This window comes from Homo sapiens, chromosome 11, assembly GCF_000001405.40.
Source record: "Homo sapiens chromosome 11, GRCh38.p14 Primary Assembly".
NCBI lineage: Eukaryota > Metazoa > Chordata > Mammalia > Primates > Hominidae > Homo > Homo sapiens.
This window is the reverse complement of record NC_000011.10, coordinates 24043284-24054605: the sequence shown is the minus strand read 5'-3', so window position 1 is coordinate 24054605 and position 11322 is coordinate 24043284. Positions and strand designations below refer to the sequence as shown.

The window sequence follows — 11322 nt, the reverse complement described above, 5'->3', positions numbered from 1 at the left end:
ATTATTTTACCTACAATAGTGAGTATATGTTTTATGTTCCTCCTAAATAACCTAATATACAATTCTGAAAAGAATCAAGTGTACAGAAAATAGTTGTCTTATTAAAATAATCTTTAAAGCTTAGTAGATAATTGAAAAATTCTTGGAAAATTTTCACCGAAATAGACTAACGGTTGACATGTCATAAGCACTGAATCCCAGAAAAAATATGAGTAGTCACCAATGACCATTTAACATAAAAATGTGTGGGTTATATTTGACATACTGAGAAATAATATCTCTAGGAGGGTCTGTAAAATGAGCACATAAAATATGTTCAAAGAAAGAAGATTTCCAGTTGAGAATAGTAAGATTTTATTACTTGTCCATATAGATCTTAATATACTCTGGGCTAAATGATATACTTCTAGCAGGATGATCTATATAATCAGGATGATCCTTATTATATTTCTTTATTGATCCATTCTGTATAATTTTCAGCTAGAAGTAGTGTAAAATCTCTGGAACATGTTCAATCGTATAAATATATATACATAAAATATTCATTTCAATCCTATGTTTAAATACACTTTATGCTTTTTAAATTAAATTACTTTTTCCACTCACCATCTGGCTTCTTAAAAGAGGTAATTTACAGCAAAGAGCCAGCACTATTTTTCAAAAAGAGAACATATTTTACTCATCTAGTTACCTCCTAAGACTGGGACCATTAATTTAACAGCACATTTACATGGATTTTTTGTTGTCGTTTAACAAATTAGACTATTAACATTGGAACTACAAACGTTGCAAACAGCAGATGGTGATATAGAAAATCCTCATTTCCCTTAACAATTTTAAGATTTGGTATTCAATATCTCCCAGTGTCAAAAATATAGTAATAAGGACAAAAATAATAATTATTTATTAAAACAGATTTCATTTGAATGGGAACACATACCTGTATATAAATGTGAAAAGGATATTTATGATGTCAGATTTTTATTTCCTTGTTCAAATCAGATTTTAATTTTATTGAAGCCAGTAAATTTTTTTTTTTCAGAACACAGCCTCCACTGTTTCAGTAATTAACTAGTATGGTGATAATAGTGGTATTGCTTATTGCCAGAACACCTGGTTAATATTTTTTTCATTTTCCTTTAAAATACTTATTGAGTCAGCTTTTCAGAGTGGTAGATTGACATTGTATAGAGGAATTAAATTGTACTATGGAGGAAAAATAATGCCAGTGATAAAACTAACAGCTCTTGTAATGATTGAAAAATAATCTTCCAGCCTGTGAAGTGTTTGCCTATACAGTTTAATTAAAACCTCACGACAAATCAAATGAATCAAATATTAAAATCTCCATTTCAGAGATAAGCGTGCTGAGGTAAAGGGAGGTTATCTGTCCAAAATGATCCTGGTTTTGTATTGTTTTGTTTAAATTTTAAAATAGTCAGATTTATAAATTATAAACAAAAGATATTCTTAGCATTTCCCTCAGCTTGACTAAACTTTGGACAACCTTTTTCATGACTGTATGCCCCTGACTTCCTTTTTTCTTAGAGCATTTGCTTTATAAAACCTGCGATTGTACATTATTTCTCTTCCCTGTAAAATGTAATGTTTCTAAAAGCCTTTTTCCAGTTTTACAATTAAGGACTATCTTTCTCAAGGAAGTCATTCTTTTGAAACATAATAACTAGGGATGACAGTACCCCTATCTCCCACTCTCTGAAGGATGGTAGGAGCCTATGTTTGGTGGGTGACTTCATCCATGATGTACAACTATCACCTGCAATGAAGATACAAGAAAGTTTAATCTTCCTTTTGGTGAGGCCAATTAGCAAACAATGCAGTGGGCCTACAGTTCTCCCTGCCCAGCTCTCAGAAACCCTTCTGCTCTTTGTTTCAGTGGAGTTGAGTTCAGACTGTGTGTTGTCCCTATCTCCCATTGCTATACCCTTAAATAAAGTGTTCATTTCCTGTTTAACTTTGCCTAGTGCAATTTTTGCATTGATACTGTTAAGGCTCAGTTTATTAATAAAAAAGCCCATACAACCTTTCCAGTATGATTATATTATAGAAAAATTATCTTGCTTCAAAAAAATTAAGACACCTGTATATCTCACTGTTTTGAAGGTAAACATCAAAAATATTTTGGACTGGGTCATAGAATTAGATGACTTCTTCCCCATAAATTATAGAAAAATATTTTCTCAAAGCTGTGTATTTCTATATGTAATGATGTGTGTGCGTGTTTGTGTGTGTGTGTTTCAATCCCCAAATACATTGTAAAATTTTGTTTATTAACATTAGTGACATCCTTGCTTCTATTCAACAACCTAATGCCTTTCTTTTAGTGTGTCTGTACATACACACACGCAAATCAAATAACTTTGCAGATATAGGTTTGGCATAGATACTAAAATTACAACAGAGATAAAATAGAGAATAATGCATGTTCTTACCATGTGACAAGCAATTTTAACTATTTTAAAAATTCATTTATTTTTCCCAACAAACCAATCACTAACTCACAATTTAAAGATTAACCTATATTGTGCATTATGGGTGAAGAAATTGAGGCACAGGGAATTTTCTAATCCATTTAGAAAGTAGTTAAACCAAAGCAGATAAATGTTAGTAAATTCCTCAAGTTTAAAAAATCAATAAGTGATGCAACTAGAATTTGAAATCCCAGTCAGTTTACCTTCAGGATCTGTCATGCTGTCACCTCTCTTTAATCTACATACACAACACTTTCACCAAGCACAGTGCAGAGAGGAAAAACCTTACTGAGAAGTGCATGCATCTTATTCTTGAATTTGTATGCTTATGCAACCATAATACTCCATGATTATATTACAAGATCAAATAATGCAAAATAAATTGCAGACAACCCTGAAAAATAAATTCTAAACTGAATTTACCTATGGAGAGAATTAAACTCCTAGTAAGAAAGCAAGAACATAATGAAAGTTTTGCAGGAGTTCAGCCACTCCCTTGTGAAGCAGATACTGAAAGGTAGTCGCTGCTCAACTAATTTGTTTCAGAAAAACAATTCTAAATTGGGTTTTATAATATTCTTGCACAGAGGCCACAGTGAAAACAACTCAAATTGCATAAAACACTTCTTAATTACGATTATCTCAGTGGATTATATTTCATGGCCTCTTGAGCCCATAGATAATTTAACAACAACAACAAAAATTAACAATATGGGTAATTTTCACTGGAGTAGTCAGAAATATGATTTCTCTCATCAGTTGGGTCAAGTAAAGTGAATGATGAAAGACAGGATTCCTCATTCAATCTAAGTGATGCATAACTGTAGGATGCAGGAGACAGGACTCAAATGTTTCACATTAGGAAGTGAAAACACTGAGTTTCAGCTGGCAGTTTATGAAATATGTCTCAATGGTGATATGCCACACCCACCCATCTTTGAAATAGCAAATGGCATCATAATTGAGAATGCTATGTAAAATAGTGTCTTAATAAGTTCTGGCTGCTATAACAGAATACCATAGATTGGGTGGCTTAAACAACATTTGTTTCACATGGTTCTGGAGGCTGGGAAGTCCAAGTCAAGGTGCCAGCAAATCTTGCATCTGTGAGAGAATTCTTCCTGGTTTGCACACAGCTGTCTTCCCATTGTATCTTCACATGACTGAAAAAGAAATCATATATCTTGTGTTTCTTATTGTGTTTCAATGATCCCATTGATGAGTTCTCCACCTTTATAAACTAATCACCTTCCAAAGGCCTCCTCTTCTAATACCATTACTTTGATGGTTAGGATTCTAACATATGAATTTTGGGAAGACACAGTTGCTCCATGACAAATAAGTACCAGTCTACTCTATAGCAGTTGTCAGAATATCCTTAAGATGATACAATCATTAGAGAAAACTACTCTCTAAGAACTAAATAGATAAAACAGAAGTTATTGAAAGGAAACTGGCTATGTGTGTCAAAACTGTTTAAGGAAAAAATTGAAAAAAACGGGGATATAAGTACAGCCTGGGAAAGTAGATTTGCACAAGAAGGTCTAACATTCCCTACGGCCTAAGTCATGATCTGGTTATAGTTGTTGGAAGCTCTAGGGAAATACATATTTTTACAATTAGAGCTGTTGGTGGAATGGACTACCCCAAAAGATAAATAATTTGTCCTGCAAGGTAGCCAAGCCTCACTTTGCAAATTAAAGATATCATATATGGCTGAAAATTTAGGTGGAACTGTATGACTGATTTGTAATATCACACCCATGCCTTGGATTCTAGGAGGATGAGATAAGTGTAACTGCTGTAGGTAGAGAGTTTCTTACTTTTATGCCTTGAAAGGAAAAGAAATTAACATAGGGGATATGGTCATATAAATTGTTAAGATAAAAATCAAAGGAAAAACTAATGATGGTAAAGCAGATACAGTAGTAGTGAGGTAAAATTGGTGTTTCCTCTAAGAAAAGGTCAACTGAAGGAGTCCTCAAGGCTGGGCTTTAAGAAAACAATAATGAATTAATTCTTTTTAATTTCAACTTTTATTTTAGATGCAGGGGGTACATTTGCAGGTGTGTTCCATGGGTATATTGTGTGGTGCTGAGGTTTGGGGCATGGATCCTTTCATTCAGGCAGCGAGCATAGTACCCAAAGGGCAGTTTTTCAATCCACACTTCTCTTCCCCTCTCCTTTAGTAGTCCCCAGTGCCTCTTGTTCCCATCTTTATGTTTGTGTGTGCTCAATATTTAGCTCCTGCTTATAGATGAGAACGTGTAGCATTTGGTTTTCTGTTCCTGCATTAATTTGCTTAGGATTGCGGTCTTTCAAAAGCTGGACTTTAACTTAATGAATTTTCGAAAGCTCTAATGATTCTCATCCTTGTATCAAAAAAGGTTGACTAGAATCCCCTCTACCTACACACTCACAAACATAGACTTTATATAAGCTTTTTGGAAGGCAAAATAGCAAGAAGATACATTCTTGGTGAGTAAAGGATTAGAGCAAATTCGGGGATGTGGAATAGTCTAAATTTAATTTTCTAATTTAGTTACTTTCTTCTTTTGGTACCATGTTTCTTTTAATTTTATAATCTAGATAATTTTTTTCAGTGAGTTTAACAAACTTCTTACATCTCATCCCATTGTCTGAGATTTAAACTAGTCATATCTGTAGAGGTCAACTCTATTTTCTTTACTTCTAATTTTTTTGTGTAACATCTCACTATCTTTTATGTACTATTTACAAACAACAACAGAAAATATGGAGTCCAACACCAGAAACCCATTTAATGGCTGTGGTAATGCAAATGATTACTTCCATTACTTTTCTCCTGAAGGAAATATCTCATTCTTTCTGATAGACATATATTGTGAATAAGGGAGATAAATACTTTTATCACTCAGTTTTTTAATATATTTTTTAATCAAGTTACAGTAAAAATCTAAAGTGCATCATAGACCCTCAGGAACCTTTACTAAGGTAAGTTACTAAGGTGATTGTATTGCACTCTTGGCCTAATTTTTTTAAGTGAAATTTATTTTCTACAGAAATTGCTTAGCTGGATAAAACCACACCCTCATCTTCCTGCTAAGTCCTTGCATTTATATTTTGTTGAGAATGATAAAACCATTTCTCTTCCTTAGTGCTTCATGAAGGTTTTATTTCAGCCAATTTGTTTCAAAACTCACATTGAGTTTTGTATTATATGACTTGCTGAACTATGCAAAATGACGCAGGGTAAATTTATAAATCCAATTACCTTCCAGTATTTTTCTTTTCATTTAAAATTCAGTAATGACATATCAAGAATTACAATATGAATGGGCACATAGGGTTACACAGAAGAGCTCACTGGTTAGCATGGGAGGAGAAATGATTAAATATAAGCTCTTTCCTGGCCATTACAGTAGTATATAAACACAGAGAAGAGGAAGTAACCATAACAAGGTGAGTAGAGGGTATGGCAAAGAAAACTTCTAGAAAGAGAAACAATCTTTTGAGCTGAGGCTTTAAATGCAGGGATAGAATCAGAGAAGGGTGACTTTGGCAGAGGGGGAAGCAAATTTGAAGGCACAATGAAAATGTATAGCATGCTTAGAAAATAGTTTGAATTGAAAACTTCTTAAAATATAACATTTGGTATTTTTAAATCCAATCTAATTTAATGCCATAGATGGTTCACTTGTAATAGTATGTGTACTTCACATTTCTGATCAGAAAGGGAAGAATGAGGCAGACCCAGGGAACATATGGCAGAAAAACAATATTTGGAGTTATTTCCATAATGTTTTTCAGAAGCCCTAAATTGAGTTTAATGTCAAAGATTAGAGGGTAGGGCAAGGTCCTCTAGCCCAGGGTATTTCTTTTTCTGTTGCTTTCCTCTTGTTGGAGAACAACAGAATTAGAGAATCTCTTCCCCAGGAGCAAATCTTAGGTGTCTCAAATAATTTGTCTGATGTGGCAATTAACTTCATTCTTGATTGTTTTAATTTTATTACATTTACAATCAACAATTGGATGTTTACAGTTTGCTTATATTAAGTATTCTCTATTTGTACTCAGATCTCAGCTTTGCCATTCATTAAAAATTATGCCAGGTCACTAAGCACTAGTTTCTTCAGAAAAAAAAATGGGAATATGGGAATACAATAAGTCATCTATTCTGAGACATCTCTGACTATAAGACATTATATCCTTAATGTACATCTAAGGAAAAAAATGTCAACTAAACTTTATCCTTAACAAATTTCTTATTTTGTACTTATTAAAAGAGTTCCTTTAATCCATATTAGATAGAAGTTTTATTACTATAACACACTTGTTTATACATAAAAAGGAAAATGCAAGCAAGATATTGACTAAATATCCTTAAATATTTTCATATTCAGAGTCTGGGGCTTCAGTGCAATTTTCAATTCATTAAATGAGGGCTTAGACATTAACTGGAGAAAGGATTATAATGCAAGGTCATACAGGAGATTCAGAAGACAGTAAAAAGATGGTTGATAAAGGCCTATTGACAGAGAAGAGAGGACTCTGAGTCTGAACAGAAACTTTGGTGACTGAATTAAAGGAAATTCATATGACAGAGTTATACTCAACAGCATAAGGCTAAAAAAGAAACACACAATAACAAAAACAAACAAAAAGATGAAACTCATCTGCTTATGAATTGTTCATCTGCTACACGTCATCTAAATCTGCTTAAATCTGCCTGGACACTTTCCGGTGGATCCCAAATACCAAATGTGTCATTGGAGAAGACTTTTGATCCTCTTCTTTCATTTTCTTTCTCCTTTTCTTCTCTCCTTCCCAGTAATAGAGAAGTAGGAAGATGAGGATAAAATTGTAACTAAAGTTGAAAATTTTCTCTTTTTTTTCTTTTCTTCCTTAGAAAACCATAAAGTTAGTTTATATGGGATAGGGAAGGCAAAGAAGAGTTTAATTCTTAGGAAATTTTGGTTAAAATTAGGAATCACCTATAATATTTGGCTTAACAAGGTTAGAGTTAGCATCTGACAATGATCACTTACTCTGTGTCATACATTCTTCTATGTGAACAATTTTATGGCATTAGTACTACTATAGTTATCCTCTTTGAAAGATTAGCAAACTGAAATATAAATTGTTTTGCCCAAGACCTTCTAGCTACTAAATTATTAACCAAGATGCTAATCTAAGCAGCATGATTCCATGTACTAAGTGACTCATCCCATTTACAAAATGATTTCAATGGTATAAATAGGACACAATGTACTACTTAACATAGGAAAATGGAGCTTTGTATAATTGTTAAATGTTCAAATAAATAAAAAATATGCCCTTTTAAGCTCTAAATGTTACAATTCTAATACTACGTGTGTATGCCAAGAAATTTCCAAATTTACCATCAAAAATAATTCCCATAATACCTGTAGTTGAAAGCTTATTTTGTTTTTATGTAACTAGTTACTATTTAGAATCACATCAGATATGGTTTGGCTCTGTGTATGCTCTCAATTCTTATGTCGAATTGCAATCCTCAATGTTGGAGGAGGGACCTGGTGGGAGGTGACTGGATCGTGGGGGCAGACATCCCCCTTGATCTTCTCATGATAATGAGTGAGTTCTCAGGAGATCTGCTTGCTTAAAAGTGTGTAGTACTTTCCCCTTCACTCTCTTGCTCTCACTCTATCATGTGAAGATGTGCCTGCTTCTCCTTTGCCTTCCACAATAATTGTAAGTTTTCTGAGGCCTCCCCAGCCATGCTTCTTGTACAGCCTGTGGAACTGTGAGTCAATTAAACCTCTTTTCTTCATAAATTATCTAGTTTCAGGTAGTTCCTTATAGGAATAAGAGAAAAGACTACCACAACACCCTTCTCTGGAAAATTAGATATGGTATAACAGTAACCTTTGTGGGAGTAGGTAGAAAGTCATGTGAAATTTAATAGATTTCATGATAGGCTTAACTCTAGTGTTTTGTTTGTTTGTTTGTTCGTTTTTTTCTAAGTTCAGGAACATTGTTAGTCAATATTTTGTAACCCAGAACTGCCTTCTCATTGTCTATGTTGCTAGGCTTTTAATAATGATTTAATGCCATTATGATGTCTTGCAAGTTATCAAATAAAGTTTTAGGACAGGAATTAACTTTTATCTTGAGGATCATATTTTTGCTGTATCTTCACAGAATGGAAGAGGTGAAAGAGCTGTCTCAGGCCACTTTTATTATGTCACTATTCCCATTCATCAGGGCTCCATTTTCATGACCTAATTATCTCCCAAAGGCCACCTCCTAATACAGTAAATTACCTTTGGGGATAGTTTTTCAACTTCTGAATTTTGGGGAAGGTGGAACAAATTGTTCTACCATAGCACTTGGGGATTATATTTAACATACTAAAGCAATAACACACTAATTTGAAGTTATACCAGTTTAACTTTAATAATATACAAAAACTCTATTCCTTTAACAATTGTACCCCCACCCCTTTTGTTGTTATTGTCACAACATTATACCTTTATATATTGTGTGATCAAAAACTTAAACTAATAATTCTTTCATATCCATTAGTTTCTTAAGTTATATTGGAAATATGGAATTTCAAACCAATTGTAATAATACTAAGTTTTAGACTAATAATTTTCTTTTTAAAATGTAATAATCTCCTACATCATGCAGAAAACTAAAAGTGCAATTAGAAACCATAATACTAGCCTTTATAATTACCCATGTATTTACACATACTGAATTCTTTATTATTATTATTTTTTTTTTTTTGTAAAACTTCAAGTTACTATCTAGTCTTCTTTTATTTCATTCTCCAGGACTCCTTTGAGATTTTCTTACAGGAAAGGTTTAGTGGCAATAAACTCTCTTAGCTTTTGTTTACCTGGGAATGTCTTAAGTTTTTCTCTCAGTTTTGAAGGCTAGTTTTGCTGGGTATATAATTCCTGATTGACAATCTTTTTACATTAGCATTTTGGGTATATTGGCATACTGCCTTCCGGCCTACACAATTGTCAATAACACATTTGCTGATAATGTTATCTACAATTCCTTGTATGTGAATTGTTTCTCTCTCACTGTTTTCAAGATTCTTTGTCTTTGGGAATTTTGATTATAATGTGTTTCAGTGTGGATCTCTTTGAGTTCGTTTTACTTGGATTTCATTGATTTTCTTGGATGTTTATGTTTAGGCCTTTCATCCAGTTTGGGATGTCTACAGCCCTTATTTCTTCAATATTGTCTCTACCCACTTCCTCCTCTCTTTTTCTTGTAGGATATGCACAATGTGTATGTTGGTCTGCTTAATGTTGTCTCACAGGTCCCTTAGGCTCTATTCATTTCCTTCATACTTTTTAGGATTTTTGTTCCTCAGACTCAGTAATTCACATTATCTTATCTTCAAGTTCATCTTCTTCTGTCTACTTAAAATTGTCTTTGAATCTCTCTGTTATGAATGCCATTTCAGTTATTATACTATTTGCTTCTAAAATTTTGGGGTTTTTTTAGATTTTCTATCTCTTCATTGATGTCCATTTGGTTCATATATCATTTTCCTGACTTTCCCTCATCTTTCTTTAGTTCTTTGAGCATCTTTAAGATAGTTGTTTTAAAATCTTTGTCTGGTAGATCTGTCATCATGTCTTTTTCAAGAATAGTTTTGGTTCATTTATATTTATTCCTTGAATGAGTTATACTTTCCAGTTCCTTTGTATCACTTGTGATTATTTGTTAAAAACTAGACATTTAAATCTAATTATTTGCTAACTCTGGAAATTAGATTCCCACCCCTTCCCTAGAGTTTGCTTTTTTTTTTTTTTAATTGTTGTAATATGTTTCTGTGCCAAAGATCAGCATGGGGTATAAACTTAAAGTCTTTTCAGGTTCTTTTAAAGGCTGCATCATTCTCTGGGAATGTGGACTTACTTTGTAATTTTCTGAATTAAAGACTAGTTGCCCTACTCTTTAATGTCTCAATCCGAAAAGGCAGAAAAGAGGGAAATGAAGGGGTGAAAAAAAGGGTGATGGCCCTTTAAATCGCCTGCAAGTCAATACCTCTGAAACAAAGGAGGGGGCGGGGGGCTGCCATAATACCAGGAAGTGTAAAAACAATGGCCATGTGCTTCTTTGTCTGTACCTCTGTGATCAGACACAGCAATCATTGATCCAGGCACAGATCCCTGATATTTGGAGGAGAGATTCCTTTTGTTTTTCCCCACTCTGGCTCCTGCAAACTGTGTGCAAGCTGTTGCATGGACACATGTTCAGCTGCCTACCATAGGGCTAGGGGTGGGTAATGGGTAGCTACCACTGTTCTGAATTGAGATTGACAAAAATCAGCAGCAGCTTACCTTCCAAGCCTTTGCCTCCTGAGTTCCAAATATTTACATCAGAAATATTTTGCCAGTACAATTGTTGTCTAGGTGGGTAAACAAATCCTGGTGCTTCTGATGCTGCCGTCTTCCCAGAATACCCTCCTCCACATACTTCTTAAGCAAATCTAAAAGCAAAACCAAATTTATTTTATATACATTTTTTAAAATTTAGTACACATTTTTTTGCTGTTTTTGCTTTGATATGCTCACGTCTGCTCATTAGAAATATTAATTTTAAGAGGATAAATTTTACGTTTTTAAAAACATTTCATAAATACAAGAAACAGGGAAAAGATCTCGTGTCTAAACCTCTTGCATTTATAACACTACACCATGAATAATCAAACGGATTAGTACCTTATCCAAAAGTGCTGTGAATCTCTATTGTCATCTAGCACCATCAATTGAATTGTCAGGATGAAACTTTGTTCAAATGGTGATATTATCGCCTATAAGCTCCTGAAGTATCTGTGGCA

General features: G+C 33.6%; 1 long non-coding RNA gene across 1 annotated transcript; it reads right to left on the bottom strand.

Annotated features, from left to right (window-relative positions):
- Positions 1–330: 330 nt before the first annotated feature.
- Positions 331–10973, bottom strand: LOC124902647 (uncharacterized). The gene is made up of 2 exons (XR_007062626.1): positions 10823–10973; positions 331–3655 (listed from the first exon to the last, which is right to left on the bottom strand). It is a non-coding gene; the product is annotated as an uncharacterized LOC124902647 (long non-coding RNA).
- Positions 10974–11322: the final 349 nt, after the last annotated feature.